This window comes from Homo sapiens, chromosome 2, assembly GCF_000001405.40.
Source record: "Homo sapiens chromosome 2, GRCh38.p14 Primary Assembly".
Taxonomy (NCBI): Eukaryota; Metazoa; Chordata; class Mammalia; order Primates; family Hominidae; genus Homo; species Homo sapiens.
In genome coordinates, this window is record NC_000002.12 from 18,888,886 (window position 1) to 18,915,457 (window position 26,572).

General features: G+C 40.2%; 1 long non-coding RNA gene across 8 annotated transcripts in view; it reads left to right on the forward strand.

Moving 5' to 3' along the window:
• LOC105373456 (uncharacterized) overlaps positions 1 to 26,572 on the forward strand; it is a 529,181-nt gene that overhangs the window by 328,710 nt on the left and 173,899 nt on the right. Inside the window, exon 3 of one of the 8 annotated variants that reach the window (XR_007086232.1) lies at positions 1,255 to 8,707. The exons of the other annotated variants lie outside the window; for them this stretch is intronic. This is a non-coding gene — a long non-coding RNA (uncharacterized LOC105373456). Of the gene's footprint in view, positions 1 to 1,254; positions 8,708 to 26,572 lie in introns of those variants that run through there. 8 annotated transcript variants of the gene reach the window in all.

Here is a 26,572-nt window from a genome sequence, read left to right on the forward strand (position 1 = left end):
ACTAACTTGTAGAGTTATGTGGTTTAAATAAGAAAATTCCCTGGTAGGTAGAAAACTGCTAATATTAGCTGTTTTATTGATATTATTTTCTATCATCATCACCATCATCATCAGTGCAAGGAGGTAGTAACATAATTCTATGAATTGACAGAGGTGGAAGAATTTGATTTGCTGCTAGATTGATTCCATGGATATTGACAATGACCGCAAATATGGTCCTTGGATAAAGGATAGATAAAGGATAGGTCCTTGGAGAAAGGAAAATCATTAGTGGGCACACAGGGAGAACTGAAAGTGGAGAAGCAGGGATGTTTATTGCGCTGCTTTGTCAGGGTGCATTGTGGCAAAAAAAATCAAAACAAAACAAAACAAAAAACCTGTTTCAGTATTGGGGCCTATGCATTGACCTTTTGGTTCTGTCTTATTCTCTCTAATTAGCTCACTTCAACTTGGTGTGTTTTCTTTAGCATTGCATTTGGCATCAGCCTGGTCCCAGTATAACAATTTTGAGAGGATGAGAGACATGGATGGAAATAACCCCTCTAAAGTTACTATGACCTTCTCCCATAATGTATTGTAATGTGGTGGTAATGATAGGCACACTAGCTTCTGTACTTGAAGTTAAAAGAAAATTCAGTTCTGTTTTCTTTTCACCATCCACAAACTGTTATTTGTAATAACAGAGGGAAGAGTTTTCTATAGCTAGCCTGTCAGTGGTTCCAAACTGGAAATAACATCCAACCACTAACTGCTGTTTAATTTTTTTTTCTTTTTACTTTATTTCATGTGTAGCTATGTTTGCACAGCAGGGCGGCAAACATCTGAGGAAATGTCACTTGGAATAGCAAATAAGCTAGCAATGCCATTGTCTCTGCCTAAGGTTTTACCTTTGGTGTGTGTAGTTCTTATTTACTTTGGTGGGTTAATAGCCCCAGTTCACCAGAAAGACTTAATTTAAATAAAATGAAACCTGCGGGAAGATGAAAGGTGGCAAATGGCACTACTTGCCAAAATGTCAATTTCATGCTTGTGGTACTTTATTTCTCTAGAATGGGAAGCATTTCTAAGAGAAACCCATCACCAAGAGCATTGTTGGCTGCTGAATGACTGAGGGCAGAAGAAGGGAGTCCTGGTGAGAATTCAGCACAGGGCGGGGCCTGCAGAAGCCTAGATGCTCAGTGTATAATCTTTATATGTAACTAAACCCCAGACAGACTTCTTGTGTTTCTGAGGGATGCTCCTGTTTTCTCTCAGGGATTTCTATTTTGGGAGGTTGGCACAAAGAGACGTCAGTGGATGTTGGCAGAAACCATGTTTCTCTCCAGCTGCTCCAATGGAAATCAACATGTTACCGTGAGTCATATTTTTTCCTTTGCCAGTAGGGTTTTATACACCATCATCCCTACTCCAAGACATGCCTAGTGACCAGGAGCAGGAGGAATTCTTGGACCTCTGGGAGTTCATGGCCCTCTCCTTAAAGGAAGGGCCCAAACTCAAAGAAAAAGCTAGAGGTTAAGACAGAATCATACTACTTCCCTCCATAAAGTTGATAGTTTTCTCGTATCAGGGGCAGGATAGGGGCACAGATAATGGTATAGGGGTTCTTTTCTGGCACCTTGTGTCATATTATTTGCCCTTTTCCTCTCCAGCTAACTCCTTGTACCAGAGAGAAAAGCAAAGCATTTAAATTTATGAGTACTGATATAGTTCCAAGTCAGCATTTTAACTACTTTGCGTTTCAGTTTACACATCTGTAATACGTGAATAGTAACCACTTCCTCAGAATTGTTGAGAAGATGAAATTAGATAATTGAGTTTAGTGCATGTAAAATGTTCCCAGCAAAGTTCTGCTGGAGGTAAGCCTTTTTAGATCCAAGATTTTCAACCTAAGATTTACCTCCAGAAGTATTTTGCTGGGAAAATTTTACATGCACCAAACTCAACTGCTGTATTCATGATAGTAATATTTTTTCTTTTGTATAATACCTTTCTTCAAAGATACAACTAAGTATATAACAAAAATTCAACTCAGATATATTTCGTTACCCATCTTTCTTTATGCAAGCATGTACTTTCTTCCTATGATTTACTAGGCATAGGCATAGGCATAATGACATTTCAGAATTATGCTCGTTACCATGATGGCAACAAGGCTGGATGATGTAGCATTTAATCAGGCATAGTTCTGGCCTTTTAAACAGCTCACAGTCTGATAATATAATTTAATAAAACTATGTGTAATTCAAAATAAACTAGCCAGAGTAGGGTGGAGGGGAGTGGTGAAGTAGGATCAAATAGAGTTTTTGAAGGAGCTAGTCTTTTGGATGGGCCTTGAATTACTTGGGGGCAATACATGTAAATATGTAGATATAGGAAGGAGCATGGAGATTTTGGGGAGTAGGTAAGTGGCTGGATACACAGGGCATTTATTCTTTAGGTCTCTATTGAATTTTAGTGAGCATTCTCAATGAATGAGATCCATGAATTGAGACTCAATCAGAATTTTGAAATAGAAGGAATCAGTGAAAATGCCAAATCTCTAGTAGTCATTCTGAGTTACTTTACCAATCACCAGTGCTTGACTTAGACCAAAGGACACAGGTTAGCCTATGTCCCAGATAAGGAGGTTTTGCTAACCTTACGCAAGTTTATTAGATACGATTTAAGTGGGTAGACCTGGAGATCCACAGTACACATTTTAAACCATTTCACTGATATTCAGAAGGTGATTTAGACAGGTTTGAAAGAGTTATCAAAAGAAATCAGATCAATCCTGCCTATCCTAGAAGTACTTAGAAACCCGAAGAAAGGAGCTAAGATGACAGTTCTTTTCTGAAAAATGCAGAGAGAGGCTATGCATTCTTTGGTGATGTGCTCCAGAAAAATGTTAACAAAAGGATGGTTTTTACTCTTAAACCATCAACTGATTTTGGCCTGCAAAGCACCAGATGGCTTGCATTACTTGTAATGTGCTTTGGTGTGTCTCTGATGATAAATATGAAGGGTCCTTTAAGATATACAGAAATATTAAGCAACTAAACATGCTTTTTCCCCTCCCTTTGAAAATTTAAGGAGTTGAAAGAAACATAAAGGCCTTTTAAACACAGGAAAAGTTATGTATGGTTAGATCAATTTTGCTCCCACTACAATAAGCCAATGAGGACCTCTCCTTAGGGGAAAGAATAATTAAGTTTGAGCTCCAAAGGTCAGAACTCTAGCCTGGCATAAGAAAACAAAACCGAAATCACTTTTCACAATTCAGCCTCAGTTCTCGGTTTGTGCCTCAATGGTATCTCACAGTTTTGTTTGTTTTGTTTTGTTTTTCACCAAAAGTCATCATGTAGCAAGACAGGTTTTTGTTTTGTTTTGTTTTGTTTTTTTCTTGCTGTAAGCCAAGCATATTCTTATCACCAATTCTTCCCTTACTTATTCTGGGTGCAAAGCCTTTCATAGCCACTCTAGTTAATATTGATGTCTACTCCCTCTGACCTCCTAATTCCAAGTCTCCCCCATTACCCAACCACCCTACTTATGAGCTGAAACCCAATGCACAGAGCTTCTGGGGTGGGTGGTCTTTAAGTACAATCTAATCTCATAACCAGTGATATATGTGCCCTGTAAATACCTTATTTAATTGATGCTGTCTTCCCTTAACACGAAGCAGAGAGCCTGGTAAAAAGTGAGAGCCCTGCAATATTTTCTGTTTGGTCACTGTGGCCAATGGGCTACACTTAGAAACCACCGCTTTGTTCAACTGAACCAGATAGCATATGACAAAGAGTTTTCCAGCATACTCTCCTAACTTGACCTGCCTCATAATTGTATTGTTGATACAAAAAATTTAAAGAATCTCTTTATTTATTGACTGAACAAGTATTTTATCCCAGGCTCTGTCCTAAGCTTTGGGGATAAACTAATAGGAAAATACAAGTGATAGGCATAACCAAAGATTCACACAGTAACTATAAAAAAGTGATATAAAAGAAAAGAAAATGATTCATATTACTCTTAACCTTTGTCTTCAGATTCCTGGGCCCGAGAACACTCTACTTTTAGAAGAGCAGCAAAAGGTTGACTTAGAAAAAAAATAGGTAAAGCACAGACAAATTATTTTAGGTGAATTCTGTGGTCTGTGAAATTGGTGGTAAACAGAAAAATGGGTCTTCCCTTCAGGAGCAAAGACCACATAGACTAGAGCGGAGAAAATTTATCTGAGCAACTGAAAGTACTCCTCAAAATGAGGATGGTCCTCAAAGGCAGAGTGTAATCCATCTACTGCTGAAGTAGATCAATATGTGTGGCAAAGTAAAATAAGATGTAAGTCTTTGTCTTATCCTTTCTTCTCTGAAGTTTCCATTTTCCAGGGAGCCTCGGGAGCTACAATCATTTAGTAGAACAATCTCAGAATTCAGGGCCACACTGAACTGGGATTTGCCCCAGCTGCAAATCCCAGTTCTACCTAGTAGTTGCGGAGCTTGGGAAGGTTATTTATTATCACTGAGACTCATTTTTCTCATTTATTTTTAAATAGCAGATACTAATATTTAACTTGCAGAATGATTGCTCTCTGTTTCTTCCAAACAACCAGAATACTAGAACTTATGTCTATAATGGAATTCCAGGAACCAGATGTCCGCTAGAAAGAGGGAGGGGCTAATTCATTTTTGCAGGTTGCAGAGTGAAGACAAGGCATGAGGGTGTAACCAGGTAACCAGAGGAAGTACCGTGCCCTAGGAGGCAATCAGAGCACAAGCACTAAATACAAAGTCAGAAATCAAGGAAAGGTAAACCAGAGATTATGGGTTGGGGACAAGGGACCTGGAAACCTTGCAGATGCAACAGAGAGAAAGTTCTGTACCTTCTGTTTCAAGCAATCATGAACATTGATGGTTGAGAAGGTAAGGTACCAAGGACAGTACATGATATGACACTCAAAACTACTTCCTTACCTACAGAGTTGCTGGCGCAGCCACTAACATTATAGACATTGTAAACAACTTTAGAATTTAAAATACTTTTACACACACAATCTCTTGTGAAGTGTGGCCTTGGGTGGTGGCCCAGATATCATTAAGGTTCAGTTTCCCTCCATCTATAGTGTGGAGTATAAAGTTCAGAAATTTGACTTGATTTTCCCAAGCCTCCACAATTAATATGATTAAAAAAACCTCGTAGTTGAACAGAGTATCTTGTGTAAGTAGAATATTCTTAACACAATCAATTGTTTTGCAAAGCTGAATAGCAGAATATCAGAAGGAGCTATAAATAAAATAAAGATTTTTGAGCCATTCCAAAATTGCTGAAATCTGTGAGGTCAGAAATAGGAACCTATATTTAAATGATCACCTCCAGTAATTTTGAGACAGCAGCCTTGGAGTGGAGGAGAGTCATCTGGGCACAACTGTTTTACTCCACACATGTATCTGCATAGTGAGACCATGTTATAGAGACTAATTACCCACCCAGTTAGAGCTAAGCTGGGGCTATAAAAGCTTTGAGTTTCCTCTTTAAAAGGCTATAAAAGTGACCTTGTTTTCACTCCTGTTTTCCCTGACATCTTTTTTTTTTATAGTTATTATTCAATATTTATTTTTAAGAATTTAAAAATATATTTTAAAAAGAATTAGCAAATACTATGCAATCAATCTAGCCAATGATTTGATATAGAACCTGGGAACCTGATAAATAAGTACAATCTGATATTTTATTTCATTTATGTTTTTTTTTTTTACCAGTATAAAGATACTTTATTCCCAACGATATTTGAATTTCTCAATTAAAACATCATATAAATAGCAAAAATCTTCTCAATTCTATTTCTAGCATAAAAGGCTAAGTGGCAAAATAGTTTCATAAAAGATTTTTCATTAAATATACAAGTAACTCAAAGAATTTAGGTAGTACAATTTCTTACTAACTACGACAACAGATAGTGAAACTTCTCACTTGAATTCTGGAGATTAACTGTGTGACCCAGGATGAGGGACTTATGTTCTCTGAGCTTCTGTTTTCTCACCTGTTAAATGGAAAACATTGTATTTGCCTCCCAGTATCCTAAGTAGGATTAAAAGGGATTGTATTATAAATGTGCCTGTGACTAAACTGGGAACATAACAGGTATTTGACAAAATTTAGCTGTGTTTGATCTACCTTTTAAAAATACTTGCAATAAAATCATTCCTTAGTGACTCTTTCAGTTACTGTATTTGTCTCATCCATAAATGAAGGTGGTGTTCAGAAAAAACAAATCTCTACAATCTATTACAAGGCTAATGTTCTGTATATTTATTATTCTGGAAAAATTTTCTTGTGATCTCTAACCAGAATTACTTTCGAGAAGCTGTATTTTGTCACTGAAAAGTCAATGAGAATTCCTAGATAATCAATAACATTATCTTAAGAACTTATTAGATATAGTCCATCGGATTTGCTTGCATTCAGTGAATTCCAATGTTAATAGGAAAACATTAAACCAAACTATGGTAAAAGTCATTCTTTGATATAAAAGGAACTTCAATGTCTTGTATGGCCTTTTGTTTATTTTTAGAGGGCAGGAATTACTGTGCTATTGTCATATTGACACACCAGTTAATGAAAATCTTCAGAAAAAATATGGGAACTAGAGTTGTGTATTTATCTATTCAATGTTAGGTGGATTCTGGATTTGTTATCATAACAGTTTACTTTTACCCCAGTACCTATCACAGTGTCTGATACAAAGTAGACAGTTAACAAAAACTTATCAATGGAATTAATACGTGCATTTTATTAAATTCCATTAATCGGTGTGATGGAACAGAACAAACATGAACTTGAAGTACTCCCACTTTAATTCTTTCATTCTTTCTTTCATTTTCTTTCTTAAATTTTTTTTTCATATTTCTCTCCCATTTCTTTCACCTCCTTTCCCCAGGGCCACCAGCTGTCCAATACTGGTCTGGTCTCTGCCATGATAGTGGGAATCACCAAAAGTGACCTCCAAAGGCCATGGAATGCCAACAAGCAGAAGAGGACCAGGAAAGTAACAGGGCCTCAGAATCATATTTTCATCATTATCAATAGAACATGACAGATTCTGAGCCAGTCTCTGATTTGAGCATTCAGTAAAAGGAAATTCTGCATGAAGAGTTATCTGCATAAAAACACTCCTATAGGGAGTTAAATCAGCAAGCAAACATGGTTGATAAATATTCCCATCCCATTGTTTTTACAAGAATGTAAACCACACCTAAAAGCACATTCCTTATTTTGTAGGGAAATATATGACGATGCACACTTCATCCCACTGTGCCAAGACTTATGCTTAAATTTAATTTCAGCCTTCTTGTTTTCTCCCTGTGCTACAGTATGATTTCACAGTACATCTTCCCATCTGTTGAAACAGAGAAATGCTTGCATTTTGGGCTGAGATGACTAATATTCATGAGGAATGAATCCAAATCCAAACTAAATGCACATTTTTGCATTTGTCCAAACCTAGCCATGAATTATCTCAGGCTATCAATAGAAGAAGAAGAAAGCTGCTATCTGTAAATCCCTATTTGTTTTCTCAAATTGCAACCTTGGCAATGGGTGTGACAGAAATATGTTCAGTATTCCTGGTAGCCTAACCTGCCAAGAGAGATAAAGCCACTTTGAAGTCCAGGGATGAGAAACTACACAGATTTTTACCCCAAACGGGCCTCAAGCCCTTCTCAAAGAGAAGTGGGCTAAAACAGCCTGCCTGTTTCACAGCCTTCAGAATCAAGGAGATGGATCCTGCTGCCTCCAGGAGGTAGCAGATTTGAACTTAGTAAAGGAAATGCACTTAAAACCACTCTGGCCAATAATGATGATGGTGATAATATCAATAAAACAATAACAGTAAAAGTTAATGTAGGAATAGTAGCTATTATTAATGCTTACATTCATTAGGTGATTGCTGGATTCCAGCACTGTGCTGAATCCTGAGGCATGATTCCATTTCCTGACAACATCCCTGGGATGAATACCGCAAAGCTCAGGTGGTTGAATGATGAGGCTCACACAGCAAGGAGCAGGGCTGAGGTTCTGACCTCAACTCTGCTTCCCTCTGAAGCCTCTGCCATTTACCTTTCTATATTACCCATGCTGCCCCTCTGTTTGCATTGCTACCTTTCTGCGATGAAACCCACCTTGGACCTCCTTTGGGAACAGCTCCTCCTAATACACTGTCCACAGCAGCTGCCCTCACCAACAAACAGCCCACACATACAAATAATGTCTTCTGGAGGCCAGGTAGAAAGAATGCCTTGAAAGAGATGTGATTCTGTTGCAAAATAAACTGGATGTGTGAAATCCTTTAGCTTCAGCAAAATGTGCTCACACTCCTTTCCTCATAGGAGTTTCTGTCATTGCAGATGGGACTTGGGGGGCAGCAGGTTTCCAGTATGAAGTCACAGGAGCTGACTCTGGCATTTCTTCTCGTCTTACAGTCTCAAATTATTTTTTTTCCCCAAAGCAAGAATTAGTTTACTCAGCCAGATTTTCTGAGCACCCACTTTGCACTAGTCCTAGGCTAGACACCGCACATATATTTCCATTAGTTCTAACAAATAGATTAATGCTTTTGTTTTCTATTATTTTGCCTGATAAGAAAAATTAGATAAGATGCATTAGGTACATTCCTGTAATCCCAGCACTTTGGGAGGCCAAGTTGGGCAGATCATCTGAGATCAGGAGTTTGAGACCAGCCTAGCCAACATGGTGAAACCCCGTCTCTACTAAAAAAATACAAAAATTGGCCAAGCATGGTGGTGCGCACCTGTGATCCCAGCTACTCAGGAGACTGAGGCAGGAGAATTGCTTGAACCCAGGAGGTGGAGGTTGCAATGAGCCAAGATCGTGCCACTGCACTCCAGCCTGGGCAACAAGAGTGAAAATTCGTCAAACAAAAATGCATTAAGTAACTTGCCCAAGGTTTTAAGTCCTATTAAAGCAGTGCTTCACAACCAAAGGATATTATCATTCCCCTTCTCCCCAAAAAACTTGACAATGTTTGGAGACATTTATGTTGTCACATATGGAGGGGCAGGGGACAGGGTTCACTATTGGCATCTAGTGGGTAGGGGCCAAGGATGCTGTTAAACATCCTGCAGTACACAGAGTAGCCCCCCTAAAGGAAAGAATTATCCAGTATAAAATATCAATAGCACTGAATTTGAGATACCCTGAATTAAACTGAGTGATTTGCGACTAGATTCTGCTAACCTTTGGCTGATGACGTAGATTCTCTTAGATGGACAGATGGACTCAGCTTTGAATCAGAGCCTCTGGCTGCTCTGCCATGGCAGTGTCTGCTGCTCAATGTCCTGACACATGCAACAGCCTGGGAGCTGGGGTCCTCCCTGCTCAGCCAGTTGGGTGTTCAGAATGTCCATGACTTAGAGCCCTGATGCTGCTGCAACTCATAAATCTCCCTATATTCCCACATTTTATAAAAGGTGCATCAGGAAACATTAATGGCCCAGGAACTTTGGGGTTCTAAATACTCAATATTCAGAGAGCCCCTTGCTGAATGAAATTTTGGCTTGAGGAATGGCCACAAAGTTGGCTTCTTTTGACTGGTTCATGACTCAAGGAATAAGGAAAAGTGGTTACTCATTTCTTTTCTGGAATATAGGCCAATTTCTTTAGGGCAAAAGACTAAGGAATCCAGAGAAGCTTCTCTGTATGGAAAGAAAGGTGGAAAGCTGGCCTGTGTTTATGGACCATCAGGGCACCTGGCAATTTTAAATCAAGAGGTACTATTCAGTTATTTTAAATCAATAGATGTTTGCTGGAGCAAAACTTAAACTGATGGTGTAAAGACCTGGGATTTGGACCTTTGCTGAGACTTAATTCATTTTCTTATTCACTGAAAAAATTATACTATTTAAGCACTATTGCATGCATGTCAGACTCTGAATAAGATCTGGGCTATATACAAGTTACAATTTTGTGAGAGGGAAATGAGAGAGAAAGTAATATTAAAATAGGACAGAAAGATACCTAGTTATGGCAAAGAGGAATGGGAGCGAGTAGGGGAGGGGGCAAGGAAAGACATTTCAACAGAGAGAATGACATGTGGAAAGGCCTTAAGGCAGGAGACAGCACAGGAAGTTTGAGAATTGAAAGAAGTCCAATGTAATTGGAGCACAGAAAGCAAAGAGAAGAGATGTGAGAGTGAGCTGAAGAGAAGGGAGCAGTGGGGAAGGCAGGCAGGTTCTATTGAGAGTCTAGATACCCACTGAGATCAGTGTAGCACCACCCAGGGACCCTAGATTCCATCTGAATTTCAGAAAGCAGGGAAAAACACAGAGAGACCAATTAGGACATTGCTGCAATAGGGTCAGAGAGGGGCAGATGGGCTTTTGACTAGTTCTGTAGCAGGGAATACACAGACAGGTGGATGGATTTTATACATACTTTGGTGGAGGGAGGGCAAGGAGTCAGTGATGGATCAGCTGTGACAAGTGAGGGAGATGAGGTGAAAGGATGCTTGCCAGTCCAAGCGACTGGGTTGGTACCATTTCCCAAGACTCTGCAATTCTCATCTTCCTCATCTGTAAAGTCGGAAGAAAATTCTTATCCTTTCTCCCTCACAGGATTATTTGAAGGACCACGTGATATAACAAATATACAAGGGTTTTCTGGACTATAACTGATGATAAATAGATAAATATCTGATCTATAAGGTGACTGTTTGTAATCATTATTACAGCATATTCATCTCCATGGCTTTGTTATCAGTCTCCATGTGCTGTGAAACACCAGTGCTAGCTCAGTGATGTCTCTTGGGTGCCTTACAGCTTCCCGATTTCACAGTTACAGGGAGTTTACAGAGCATATAAAATGGCAAGGGTGAAAAGTTGTGGCTTCTCATTTCTCTAGCATGAACTTGGCTTTTAAGTCTTGAAATCTACTGTGATTGCCATGAGAAACCCTGAACCAGCCCAGTTTCATTGCTGACATGCTTGGGGAATTGGGAGTAGACAATGGAAACTGTTTCTCTTGCATTGTTTTACCGAGTTGCCAAAGAATGGCTGCGCCTCACCGATCTCAGCCTGGTAATTATCCAAATGGCTCTGGGTCACAAAAACCACAGGAAAGAGCCTACTGGCTTGCTGCTGCTCCAGGGCTCCAGGGCTCCAAAGATATGGCCTTTTATATCCCTTTGCAGCCTCAGAGACTGTGACCATGATTGAATGAGTCCAGCCCAAGTTATAAGGAAAATGTTTTAAGACCAATATCAGGAGACCTAGGCTCAGCCCCAGCCCTGCCACTTATCAGTTATATCACCTTAGGGAATTCACCTTGAGAAGTACCAGTTTCCTTGAGCATTATTTGAAGACAGAGTTAATTGATCCATTTAAGAGTTGTGAGAAGAAGATAAGATAACTAATACACTTTGTAAATTGTAAGATGAGAAAATTCAATAGTTGGATAAATGAGATGAGTGATATCAGCAATAGTTCCATGGAGAAGAAAGACATAGATAGATTGATTGATGATAGATATGTGTGTATACACTCATGGATATGTTTCTCACTTGGGTGAGGGGATAATATTTGTTTGGAAAGTTATATTAAACTAGAAAATCAGTGACTCATTTGTCTATCAGTATAAGTTTTAAAACTATACTCTCCATCTGTGAAAGTACAATTAACATAACCTGACAGTATCTTAGAATGCTCCAGAACTGGAGGTGACTTATCTTGGAGATTGCCAATCCTGTGCACTTTTTAGGAGGGGTCACTGAGGGCAGCCACCTTCTGGATGAAACCTGACTTGTTCCTGGTAATCCAGCCAGGCAGTGGTGGTTTGGAGCTGAAGCCCAGAGACCTCTGAGTCTTCATTCTGAACTCTTTTTACTCAACCACATGCTCTCTCAGGAGTCTTTCTATTTCCTGCCAAATGGCACAACCCTCCTTGGGAAGGAGAGTGAGGGTCAGGGGCCCAGACTGCTGGTGGTGATGTTGGGGGCAGTAGGCTGAAGGCAGGAGGGAGTATTTCACATTTATTGCATTTACTGCTCAGGCCAGGCAACATTAGACATTCAATTCATGTAATTGGAATTATTTTTTTTTCCTTTAAAAATAATGACCTCAGTGTTTAGGGTCATCACTTTGTGCTATTCATAGTTACTCAGTTTTATTTTGCTTCAATTGTGAAATCAAGCAAACCAGCTCTATCACTTTTCAACAGAACAAGAAAGCCAGTGAGTATTAGAAGGAGATCTGTGGATTATTCCATTTGATAGGAGAAAGTCCTTTCTGGGATACCAGCTAGTCACCCCAATTCTGTTTTCTCTTTTATGGATGAAAACAGATGTCAGGGAAAAAAAGATGAACATAGTGGCATTCTCTGTCAAAACATCTTGAATAATTTTTCAAACATTTTGGGTTTGTTAAAATTCAGACTGCATAGTGCCAAGCAGTTTTGCTTAATTTCTAAACCCCTGAGTATTTAAAGGGAAATTTAATCGGTGTTTTTCTGAATCATTTCATTTAATTCATCAGTGTGCTGTTTCATAAGAGCCATTTGATGCCAAAAAGGTTCGTCTGTGCCAATTTAGGAATTTTACTCTGGAAGGCTTCAAGGTCTAAGAGCAGAAACACAGCAGGGACCTGGGTGTTCTAGACTCTCACAAATCGAGAAGTAGAAAAGGCTGCATATCTTATGGTTCTAACTCCCTGAATTCTCTAGATGGGAAAGGTCTTGCTCAAGTTAATTCCAACAACCAGCAAGAAAAGTGGACTCTCAATTCCTAAATCTGCCAAGACATTGCTCTCTTTGTGTTCAGAACAAATTAAAGGCCTGTGGTGGAGAAAAGTGAACTTACACATTTAGCAGCGACTTGCTTGTTAGTATGAATGTGTTTTTTTAATAAATATAATACATAGCAACTAATATTTCTAAAATATTCTGCTGTAATTAATCAGCATTAACTGTGCAGCATTGCTGTGGAAAAGCTTTTGCTTCCTCAGAGGTAGAGCCCAAGTTTCACAGGAGAGAGCAGGATCCTAAATATGAAAATTTACTGATGCTATCTCTCCCCTCCTGCTCACCTCCCATGAACTCAGTGGAAACCCCCACAGTCAGCTTGTTTCTGTGCCTTAAAGGCCACAGTTCAATAGTTGAACACACACACACACACACACACACACACACACACACACACACACACAATTTGTAATGCTACCCGTGTATTATAAGGACATTTAGAACTGAATATTGGGAATAGGCTAATTCCCAATAAGAAGAATCATATCAAGCAAATAGTAGTGTGGCAACATAGATGTTCAGGCTATTGATGCAAAGACTCGCTTAGTACCTATTCTTTCCCAGACTTTATGCCTAGTGGTTTACATATATTCAGTCATTTATTCTTCATTATGATTCTGTGACTCTGACAGCTTTGAGTTGATTGTACAGCGAAGATATTGGGATTTAGTGAGGTTAAGTAACTCATCCAAGGTCACCCAGCTAATAAGTGGCAGAACTGGATTTGAGCAGGAACATGTAAAAAAGTGCCTGTTATTTCCATTTGCCATCCTGCTTGCTGCAAGAGCTTTGGTACTTGATTATAAGTAAATAAAAGTAATGCAGTCACCTGAATAATGTTCAAACTTGATTAAAGGGAGCTTAGGTATAGTTTTCAGATGAAGAACTTGTAGGTTCCTTTAATATACAGATAGAATATGTCCTTCATTTTTAGGTAGAATTTCTACCATAACACAAGTTTGAATCATGAAATTCCAGAATACTAGATGATTAAGGGTCTCACAGGACATAATAAGAGGCCTGATTAGGACTGAATTCTGGTGAATTCGCTTCTCCTTGCAAACACCTGCTCATGGACTATACTCACAGCTCAATTCTCAATCCCAACAGAAGTTGCATGCTTATTTTGTTCACTTTTTCATTCCCACATTTATTCATAGATTCAGTCACTTATACTTTCATTTATCCATTCACTCACTCCTCATTCATTAATTCACTCATTTGAAACAGTCAACAGCAACTTCCCAGTGTGAATAACACTGAACTATCCTAGGTCTTGGGAAACAACCAATGTTCGTAAAATATGACTTTGTCTTCAAAGAGATCATTTCTTTATACATTAAGTATTAAATGCCTACAGTGTTCTAGTACTAGGTGAGGTCCTAAGGATCCAGCAATGAACAAAGGCAACTGTGGCTACCATCTTCATGAAAAGAATTCCATTGGAAAGGCAAGTCTGTTGCCCACAAATGTGTAAACAATGGCCGCAACAAAGAGACCAAGGCTTTGACATGAATGAATGTCTGTGATGGTGAGGGCCTGGAGAGGACTTCACTGAGCAGATGAAACAAAATTGGGCTTCAAAAAGCTGCAATTCTAGAATGACACTGACATCTCAGGGAATGAGTTGCCCCACTGCCACTTCTCTGATGGTGACCACAAAGGCTGGAAAGAGCTCCTTTGTGCGGAGGAGGAAAGTGGCTGTATGTTCTCTCACAGCAGAGAGGTAAAAGCAAGGTTTTGGGGTAAAGTGCCTGAATCTCAGCAGTATCATCTGGACCTAGTCACTTCATCGCTCTGTGCCTAAGGATTCTCACCTTTCAAATGGAGCTAAAAATGATACCCACCTTGCAAGATGGCTGTAAGGATCAAATGATTTGAAAAATCCAAATATTCATCTTAAACCGTAAAGCTTTTATTACATTTAAGTGATTATTTTTCATATTATTCTCATTATATCTCTTCTTTGGAACTTGCTTTTTCTATAGGAAATGTACTTGAAGTCCCTACAGGCCTTCCCTAACCTGTGGATGGTTATGTTGTAGAATATTATTATAATTCAGTTAGAAGTCATACGTGAGGATTTTCCAATGGAAACAGCATGCAAATGATGTCCAGGCTTCTGTGACAACCCATGAGATCCTGTAAAACTCCACGATCCTGGAACAGAAAATAGTTCCAGAATTAGAAGCAGGGCCAGTAGCTGGCCACTTTCGAGGGTGGTGCCATGGGAGGACCTGGGGTCATGAACAGGGTGAAGCAGTGGTTTCTGTGGTTGGCAGCAGCTCTGTCACAGGTGTGGGAGCTGTTCAGCCAGAACTACACCCAAGTCAGTGAGCTGTGAACTTTCTCTTGCTTTGGTTTGTGATGACAAACTTCAGGGGTAGCATCTGTTGTTCATCAGGAATTCGGGGAGATGGGAGATTTGTTCTCTTCCTGTAAGACTTGGGATCTGAAAAGCATCACCTCTCTGGACAGATTCACAAGCCTAGTTCCTAAGTAGTTTGTCAGGTGAATGCTTCCATGCTTCCTCTGCAGGTCCATAAGCACCACAAATGTAGAGACCTTGTATGTTCTGTCTTGTTGCAGCTTTGATGGCCCGCATATGTTCTCACATATTATAGGTCCTCAGTATATATTTGGCAAATCAATAAATGTTAAATAAGTTCTCATTTAGCTGCCATCAGCCTTGTAATTATAGGAGACTTTATCAGCCGAGTTATAGAGGAAGGACATTTGCCATGTTTGGGGCACATTAGAGAAATGGGTGACTTGCAGGCCCTATTCTTTACCCAGTGGATACTTATTAATCCTAGGAATTAATTCCAGATATCTCCTCTTTCAGAAAACCTTCTACTATACCACCCACCTCCAACAGAAGCTGGGATGGATACTTTGATACTATGCTGTGATTATTTCTGTCATTGCCCTGCATCATTTTATTTTTTGCTTATATCATAAAATGGGAAGCCCCTGAGATTTATTCCTCTTTGTAAACCCAATATCTAATCCAATGGCTGGTACAAAGTGCTTAAATGGTATAGGCAGAATAATATATGCCTCTGCCTCCAAAGATGTCCATATTTTACTCTCTGGAACCTGTGAATATCTTAGGTAAAGTAGCAAATGAAATTAACTTTAAAATAACAAGAATATCCTGGGTTGGGCCCAATATAATCACAAGAGTCTTAAAAGTGGAAGAGGAGACAGCAGAGAGTGATGTGATGTGAGAAGAGCTTGTGTCTCCATTGCTGGCTCTGAAGATGGAGGAACGGGGTCATGAACCAAGGGATGCAGTCAGCCTCTGGAAGATGAAAAAGGCAGAGAAATTAACTCTCTCCTAGATCCTCCAGAGAAAAATGCAACATTACCTTTATCTTTATTTTAGTCCCAGAGACTCACCTCAGACTTCTGACCTACAACACTATAACACATGTGTATTATTTGAAGGTACTAATCTGTGGTGATTTGTTATAGTAAACTAATACAACTGGGACCTTCAAATTTACCATTTGAGATGTTAGGTAATAATATGTAATAATTAATATTAATATGCAATAATTAATATTAGATGTTACCTACTAATAAGACCTATTAAAATATTAATAATACCTATTAATAGGTGATAATATCTAAAAATACCTAGTGGGTAATAAGATAATAATGCCTACTGTAGCTTTATAACATACTTTAAAAGCAGGAAGTGTGATGCCTCCTGCTTTGTTCTGTTTCTCAAGATTGTTTTGGCTGTTCTGGGTCTTTTGCTGCTCCACATGAATTTTAGGATTTTTTTCTATATCTGTAAAAAAATGGCATTGGGATTTTTATGGAAATAATATTAAATCTGTAGATCAGTTTGGGTAGTATGGAAATTTTAACAATATCAAGTCTTCCAATCTATGAACATAGGATGTATTTTATTTGTATCTTCTTTAATTTCTTTCATCAATGTATTTTAGTTTTTACTGTACAAATCTTTCACCTCCTTTGTTAAACTTATTGCTCAGTATTTTATTCCTTTTCAGTATTTTTATAAATAGGATTGCCTTCTTAATTTTCTTTTCAGACAGTTTGCTAGCATATAGAAACACAATCCTTTATAATACTAGCAACAAACTCTGTCAGCTTTTGTCCACCTAGAAATGTCTATTTCTCCTTCATTTTTGAGGATAGTTTTACTGGATGTAGAATTCTTGGTTGGCAGTTTTAGTTTTCTTTTGACACTTTAAATGTATCACCCTACTGTCTTCTAACCTCCATGGTTTCTGATGAAAAATCAGCTATTTATTTTATTGATTAATAATGGGTCCATGAAACAGTATCCCAGGGAGTAATTCTCAGGTTCCCACATGCCCATATAAGAATAAATTCCAATCTCTCAGGTCCCTGTCACTTGGTTTTCCAGAAATTCACAAGTGATTATACCAGTGTTTGACACGGGAGTCGTGCTTGTTTCTCATTTTACGGAGGGCATAATTTAAGAGCATGCATTTTTGGACTGTGGGATGACACAAATGCCTTCAGAAAGAGTGTTAATGCCATCAGGGTAAGTGCCATAAGGAGTTGCCCTCTTCAGAGACTACACTTTTCCTTAACGAGTGATCCTAATAAAGAAATGTTCTGTGGGCCAAAGAGTCAAGGGCAGGACCATCTATGTCTGCAGTGATGTGGCCAGGCTGACATTTTTCTCATGCCATCTCCGCACATCAGAGTGGGCAGTTTCCCAGGCCACTGTGATTCTTTAAAATGAATTGGCTTCTCCTTTCTAGGATCATGCTTAATCAATGTATTGAACTCCCAAATAAACATGGCCTCCCTTCACCACATAGATGCTGTCAGGTCCCTGTGCTGAAGCAGCACTATCAGCAAGGCTCACATTTAAAGCCCTGAGGCTCGCGAGGCTGGTATTGGTAAAACTCCTGCAGATCCTTGCCCTCACTGAGGTGCTTCTCCAAGATGTGTGTGTGTGTGTGTGTGTGAGGGATGGGGCTAATGATCCAACAATTCTAGGGTTGAGTAAGTCAGGTCAGATCACTGAACCCATTCTGATCAGGCTCCTGAGGTACCATTCACATTGCCATCCCTCCTGGATACCAGCCAGCACAGAGGGCTACAATAGGACAGCTTCCAGCATCTCAGACTTCAGGACCCAACCCAACGTTCCAAATCAACCTTCCACTCTTCTGCCCTTATGTCAGTGCAGGGGCCAGTTGGACATCCTCAGAGTAACTTTATTTTCCAAAGATGTCATTGATCTTGATCTACCTCATACTGTCTCTCTACCTTTGAGTCTGAAAAAAGCTAGAAGCTAGGTCTGTATTTCTTCTTTTCTACACGACCTTGCACTCCTTATGCAAAAATCCTCCCTAAACTCTGTGCTAACTCAGTGGAGGAAGCAGCTTCTACAAAGCTCTCCCACTCCCCCAACCTCTCTCTTTCTCTCTCTCTCTCTCTCTCACACACACACACACAAACACATACAAACACATAAATATACACATACAGCTCACAGAAAAGTTTGTGTGCAATCTTGTGTGTACATAATTTAAAGAAAGCCATTCTATAATAAAGAACATTTTCTAATATGTAAAATAAGTGGTTTTATTTAATGGCAGATTCTTTTTTTGAGAAAGTCATCCTCATCCAATAATGCTCTACATACATGTTGCTAGACTGATTGTTGAATGTGTAGATGAACAGGGGAAACCCCTAAGGATACTGGGAGAATTGGAAGAAAATGGAGCTCATATAATGAAACTCATTTGAGAAAGACCATTTGGGTTGCAGAGGGGTGGATTCCGGGGTTTGTTTCTTTAAGTCTTAATCTGTTTTCTTTTGCTGTAACAGAATACCTGAGAGTGGGTAAATTGTTAAGGAAAGAAGTTTATTTGACTCATAATTCTGGAGGCTGGGAGTCCCAAGATTGGGCAGCTACAACTGGTCAGCTTTTGGTGAGGGCTTCATGCTGTGTTATAATGTGGAGGACAAGTAAGAGGAAGTGGGCACGTGCAATAATCAAACATGAGAGGAAACCTTGCCTTATAACAACTGTCATCTTTATCTCAAGAACTAATTCATTCTCACAGAGTAGAAACTGACTCACTACCATGAGACTGCATTTATCCCTTCATGAGGGCCAATCCCTTGTGACACAAACACCCAGTAAAGATCCCACCATCTCTCAACATAGTTACATCAGGGACAAAGCCTCAACGAGAGTTTTGGTGAGGACAAACCATCTTCAAACCATAGCACCATCTATATTGATAGTCAAAATGTCAGTAATTCAACAACGTGAGTTAAATTTGCTACCCAGGAAAGGGGACAGTTCAGTGGGATAGGGGAAACAGGAGCAGTGACCTAACTGACTCCAGAGAAGTGCTAATAACATGCCAAATGGCTCACTTTCTTTTGCATTCTACTCTCACCCAAGTTAGAAGATATAAATGATTGACTGTCAGGATAATGAGAAGCAGATTTGCCTCTGCTAATTTCTAGGATATGGAAGGCCTTTAGAAAAAGCCTCATAAGACATTACTGAGTATTAACGAGCCCCACCTCCTTGATAGAGGACATATGTAGGATGCAAATCTGTGCTCCAGTGTGGTGGATGCCGCAAGAAAGGACAGAGCTTCACAGATAATACCTGTAAAGTTACCATGTGGTCTGTTAGATGAGGAACCTTCTTTTATTTTATATGTCAGAGGCAGGGACCAGTAAAATGCAGTCTGCCCTCCTTCAATCTGTAAATGTATGCATCCTTTCTTTAGAATAGGGCTGGGGCCTGTCTAGAATATCTGTCTCCCTGTGCTCTGAATAGTCATGGGGTGCCTGTTAGAACCCAAAGACTTCTCTGAATGAACAACTGAGTTATAATTGCTGAGGGTGCACAGAAACAGTAATTGAATGCAAAAATCAGCTTCATGAGATTAAATTAGTATAATCCAGAAGCAAAAAGCAAAAGGCAAAGAAAGAGACCTGCCTCTAGGTCATGAGCAGGGCATGCAGGAAAACTTGACTGAGCAGGAAAGGGAACAGTGGCAAAAACAAGGAGTCTGGAAGCTGGAGTTCCTCTTACTAAACCTCAGGAGCTCCTTGTCAGAAGGTGGCATCTGCCTGCCTGCCTGGCAGAGATACACTACAGGGGTTGGCCTCCCTCAGAAATGGCTGACTGATTTGTTTGGCCAGGACGGTGTGGAAATAACTTCTCCAGGTAGCTGTGGTGGAGACTGAACAGGGCCATAGCACCCCACAATTATAATGGTTGTCTTGTGGTGCCAAGTGGATACAGGGACCTATGTCACTTTTCAGGAACCTCTGACACATGGGTAAGGTTTAAGGGAAAATGAACTTTGCCTAATGGCTATCTCATAGCATACAAAGAATGCATATAGAGTGTCACTGAAATTCAGGGTTGGAACTGGTCTTAAAGATCTCATCCTCTGGCTGGGCACGGTGGCTCACGCCTGTAATCCCAGCACTTTGGGAGGCTGAGGCGGGCAGATCGTCTGACGTCAGGAGTTTGAGACCAGCCTGGCCAACATGGTGAAACCCCATCTCTACTAAAAATACAAAAAAAAAAAAAAAAAAAGCTGGGCATGGTGGCAAGTGCCTGTAATCCCAGCTGCTTGGGAGGCTGAGGCAGGAGAATCGCTTGAACCTCTGGGAGGTGGAGGTTGCAGTGAGCCAAGATCATGGGGCCACTGCACTCCAACTTGGGTGACAAAGTGAGACTCCATCTCTAGAAAAAAAAAATCACATCCTCCAAATCTTCCATTCTATGATGGAAAAACTGAGCTTGAGAGGAGAGAACACTTAGACTACCCCTTTTGTTAAAGTTTGTGGATGTTTGGACTTTCTGAACAGTATTTGCCAATGCCCCTAAGTAGGGTTACCCTCAAAGTATACTTTTTGCTTCAGTCTGTTCTCACATTGCTATAAACAAACGCCCTGAGACTGGGTGATTTTTTAAAGAAAATAGTTGTAATTGGCTCACAGTTTTGCAGGCTGTACAGGAAGCACAGGCACTTCTGCTTTGGGGGAGGCCTCAGGAAACTTCCGATCATGGAAGGCAAAGAGGAATCAGGTGCCTTACATAGTAGGAGCAGGAGCAAGTGAGAGAGGGGAGAGGTACTACTCGCTTTTAAATGACCAGCTCTCATTAGGACTCACTATTGCAAGGACAGTACCAAGTGGGATGATGCTAAACCATTCATCACAAACCTGGTCCCATGATCCAATCACCTCCCACCAGACCCCACCTCCAACGGTGGGGATTACATTTTGACATGAGATTTGGTGGGGACCCAGATCCAAACCATATCACTTTGGAAATGCATTTTATCCCTGAGAAACTGATTTGTCATTGCAATGCAACAGGCAAGCAAAAGGCCAAGGGATTGAAAATAAACTAAGATGTATTCTATGCCATCAAGTTTCTTGCAGTATAAAGGAGCAATAAACTCTGGCATGGAATAATAAATGCTGTAGAAGAACATCTGCATATTTAATTTATTCTTACAAGAAATGTATGACATGTCTATATTTACCAAAGTAGGATCATGGTAATATTCCTTACAGTTGAAGTTTTCAGCTAAGATATTTTCAGATGAATAATGTATTATTATAAATAATTTAGACACTATAATAAGAAAAGTAGCATATGAAGCAAAAGAGAGAAAATAACTTTAAGTAAGTTTAACTTTTACTACTATAATGAAAAAACATTGTGAAAAATTTAAATATATTATGAATGTTATCAGTTTTATATATAGCTTACTTTTCTTTGAATAGACAAACTCATAGTGCCTAAATTAATCATGTTGAAAATTAGTATTACCCTCTGTCTTAGTCCATTTCTGCCGCTATGACAAAATGTCATACGCTGAGTAGCTTATAAGCAACAGAAATTTATTTTTCATTATTCTGGAGGCTGGAAAGTTCAAGATCAAGGCACCTGCAGATTTGGTGGTAGAAGGGGTAAATGGGCTCTCTGTGCTCTCTTTTATATAGAAACAAATCCCATTCATGGAGGGAGGACTCGACCCACATGACCTAATCACCTTCCAAAGACCCCACCTCCTATGACCATCACCTTAGCAATCAGGATTTCAACATATAAACCTTCCAGTGACACAAACATTCAGATCATAGCACCCTCGATGAATTTTTGCACGCAGAAAACATTCTGGAAGTGATTATGTGGTTTAATTTGAGTTTGTCTTCCCTAAAACTCAGCAGAAATGTGATCACCAATTTGGTGATGTTGGGAGGTGGGGCCTAATGGGAGGTGTTGGGTCATGGGGACGGGTGTCTTATGAATGACTCACTGACATTCTTTTGGTAATGAGTGAGTTCTTGCTCTTGGGAAAATGGATTCGTTTTCACAGGGATGTTCCCTTGAGAGTGGGATGTTAGAAAGCCAGGACACCCCTTGGGTTTTGCGTGTTTGCACATGTCTGCTTTCCCTTTGACCTTCTCCAGCATTTTAAGACACAGCATGGAAAGTCCTCACCAGAAGCCAAGGAAATGCTGCTAACATGCTTCTTTTACTTCCCAGCCTGAAGAATGTGGGCTAAATAAGTCTCTTTTTTTTTTAAATAAATTATCCAGCCTCTGGTATTCTGTTATAGCAACACCAAATAGACACGACATTAAGTTAATATAATGGAAGTAATCTGCAGTTGGTTAATTATTCAGTAAACCAAATCAACAAATATTGTTTGTAGCCCACTGTGGTGTGTGTGTTGAGTGTGTGTGTGTGTTAGTGAGGAGGTGGGTGCTGAGGGGAAAGATGAGCTGAGTGTGTGTGTGTGTGTGTGTGTGTATGAGAGTGTGTGCGTGTGTTGGTGAGGGGGTGGGTGCTGAGGGGAAGAGTGAGGTGAGTGTGTGATTATATATATGTGTGTGTGTGTGTGTTGGTGTGGGGGTGGGTGCTGAGTGAGAACGGTGAGGTAAGTGTGTGAGTGTGTGTGTGTTGGTGAGAAGGGTGGGTGCTGAGTGAGGGGAAGGATGAGGTGTGCGTGTGAGCGTGTGTGAGTGTGTGTGTGTTGGGGGTGGGAGCTGAGGGGAAGGTTGAGGTGTGCGTGTGAGCGTGTGTGTGTGTGTGAGCGTGTGTGTGTGTTGGTGGGGGTGGGTGCTGAGTGAGGGGAAGGTTGAGGTGTGCGTGTGAGCATGTGTGAGTGTGTGTGTGTTGGTGAGGGGGGTGGGTGCTGAGTGAGGGGAAGGATGAGGTGTGTATGTGTGTGTGTTTGTGTGGGAGGTGGGTGCTGAGTGAGGGGAAAGTTGAGGTGTGTGAGTGTGTGTGTGTGTTGGTGTGGGGGGTGGGTGCTGAGTGAGGGGAAGGATATGTGTGAGTGTGTGTGTGTGTTAGTGTGGGGGTGGGTGCTGAGAGGAAGGTTGAGGTGTGCGTGTGAGCGTGTGTGAGTGTGTATGTGTGTTGGTTGGGGGGTGGGTGCTGAGTGAGGGGAAGGATGAGGTGTGCGTGTGTGTGTGAGAGAGTGTGTGTGTGTTTGTGTGGGGGGTGGGTGCTGAGTGAGGGGACAGTTTAGGTGTGTGAGTGTGTGTCTGTGTGTTGCTGTGGGGGGTGGGTGCTGAGTGAGGAGAAGGGTGAGGTGAGCACAGATCAGAATAAGGCCCAGAGTGTTGGTGAATACAATAGTATGAGGCAACCTTAGTGATCTCCACTGTCGTGCGACTGCTAACAAAGAGATCTCATGGCCAAGGCCACCTTACATTCTCCAGACGAGAGCGACTAATGTGTTTACACAGGTCCTCACACCTTTGACTCCCTTCTCTTACTCTGCCCAGAGCAATGTAAAGTAATCCCTCTACCTTGGGGAAAGCCTCAGCCCTCATTCTCAAAAACCATGCCCCTCATCCTGTATGTAGCACACATTCTGACCCCACCTTGTCAGCCGGTATGACCCTCAAGTAGGGGAAAACAATAGGCTGAGGAAACAGGTTATAACTTCCCAACATTGGCTCCATGTGGAGCCGAGATAATACTCTGCCCTCACGTGGTTAAGGGAACATTATTAATGTCAGCAGAGGAACAGGACATGAAAATTACATCTCTACGTGTGCTAGGAAGCCAAGGAGTGAGGCAACACTCCTATAATAGCTCTGGAGGGGCCCTTATAGCTCTTAAAAACTTATTTTCATGGAAGAAGGGAGAAGATGAAGATTGATGTATTTTTAAGCTTCTTCAAAGTTGCTTTCTCAAGCAAAATCAGAGAATAAGTTTCATTTTATATTCAACTCTCTCCTAAATTTTAGTGTTTGACTTAATTATTGATACTTAAATCAATAATATATATACATATATTATGTATATATGAATGTAAATATCTTCCTTTATATATTATAAATTTTAGTGTTTGACTTATTGATACTTAAATCAATAATATATATACATATATTATGTGTATATGAATGTAAATATCTTCCTTTATATATTATAAATTTTAGTGTTTGACTTAATTATTGATTTTTAAATGATATATGTATATTATATATACAAATGTAAATATCTTCATATATATTATATATAAATGTAAATATCTTCCTCTGCATTTCAGAAAACTACATTGGCCTTCATCTTGCTGCCCCTAAGTGGCTGCCACTCATAACATAGTCATAGTTTTAAGTTTATTTTTAAAGACAAATTTTTTCTTACACTGTGGAAACAACTACCACTTTGTAATATAGCACAATCCTATATAAAGTGATATATGTTACACAATATTTTATGATATATATATACACACATACTCACACACATAGAGCATCAACATTCTTTAGTATTTCATGAAACATCCTATAGAATTGCCTGGTAATTGGCAAGCTAAACAAATTTGAGAACCACCAGACAAACAGAATGTTGGTTCAAAGAGTTGTCCCTCCAAATCTCTCCACTTGGTCCTGTCCAGCTTCGCTAAAAACATGGGTGAAATGGGCATATTTGCTGCCTATGCTGGTGATATGTATCCACTGACTGGGGTGACTATCATCGAAACTTTCGGCAGGTGCATGCCTTATCCTCCTTTTAGGCTAGACAGGGGGAGAAAGTGACTCTGCTTTAAATTTGTGCCACACACACAGACTGTGTGTGTTTGGTGGTTGGCTGATTTGTTGATTCTTGAACTCAGAATTGCTGTGGGTTGATATATAACTTAAAGCTCTTGGAGAAAGTAAAGCCTTAGACCTAGAATGGACTTTCAGAGATCCTTTGACTTAGAAGAGAGCTGAAGGTCTCTAGGAGCCAGAAACTCCACAGCACCCCATGAGAGAATCAGCAGGACATAAACGGGGAGTCCTGGCCAGGTGCGGTGGCTCACACCTGTAATCCCAACACTTTGGGAGGCCGAGGCAGGTGGATCACGAGGTCAGAAGATCGAGACCATGGTGGCTAACACGGTGAAACCTTGTCTCTGCTAAAAATACAAAAAAAAAAAAAAAAAGAAAGAAAAATAGCCGGTGTGGTGGTGGGCGCCTGTAGTCCCAGCTACTCAGGAGGCTGAGGCAGGAGAGTGGCATGAACCTGGGAGGCGGGGCTTGCAGTGAGCCGAGATCGCGCCACTGCACTCCAGCCTGGGAGACAGAGCGAGACTCCGTCTCAAAAACAAAAACACAAACAAAACAAAAAAAAACCTATCCTGCACCCCTGTGGGTCATCTCTGCATCTCTGCCCTGGCTGTTATTCCAGCTCTTTGGCAGTTCTACTTAATCTCTTGGCAATTTTTCCTTGTTCAGTCTTTAATTCTGACTTGTGCCACTGCCCTGATACTGTGACCATTAGATTTTTGCAAAGGAATCTTTAGAGCAGTGTCAAAAAGGGCCAGAGACCCCGTGGCACTACTCTAATCATTTTCTTTTGTTTTCACCAGAACAGGTGCAGTCATGATTGCTGCTCTTAGATAAGATATCAATTGCACTTAGTGGGAGTAATCAGTATGTGCACATTCCTCTTTCTGGTTCCCCCAGTAGATTAGGGAAACGGGTACCTTTGCAGCTCTGAAAAAGCAAAACTGTGCTATGATGAGTTGCATAATAAATGGAGGTCATCACTAGAATTCTTCAGGAGAAGGGGTCATAATTAAATAGCAGCTCTTAGCATTGTAATAGAAAAGGAAAGTGGGGAGTCCTTGATGCAATGGCAGCCTTGACATTCTCCATCAAAATTTGGCTACGGGCCATGACTGCTCCTCTGTTTTTGCCCCTGTGCACAAATGACAGCTGTCAGCTTAAAGACCTAGAACTATTAGGATTGCTCCAAGCTGAGGGTGAAAGAAGTGCGGAAGGCTCCTGTAAATTGTCAGGATAGTACATTTCCAAAAAATAAAGGACACGAAAAGCTGATTGGAGATTCTGTTCCTTAATGTCTTGAAGTTTTCTCTTTGCTATTAATCAAGGTATAGAGTAGCCTACAAGGAGGAAGCACCCATAATTTTGACAGACCATAAAACAAGCGGGAGTTCACCAAGCTGACTGAGCAATTTTCTCAGTTTTTCTAGAATAAATATTTGTTTAATTCTCAAAAATAGTCAAGGTAAAATTTCTTAAAGTGAATTTGAATTTTTAAAAATTAATGCCTTGGCTTTTTAACTTTCTCTTTTACAAAAGTAAAAAGCTGGTTTGGGAATGAAAGAAAACTTGGGATCCTTAGGGCATGGAAGGCTTTGCATATTGAGAAGCTCAGGGTTGCTTAGGATATCCTGAAACCCTACAAGCAGGACAAAGCTGTGTGCTGTAAGGATCCCTGGGGTGTTTCATTCCAAGGCTGATAAGA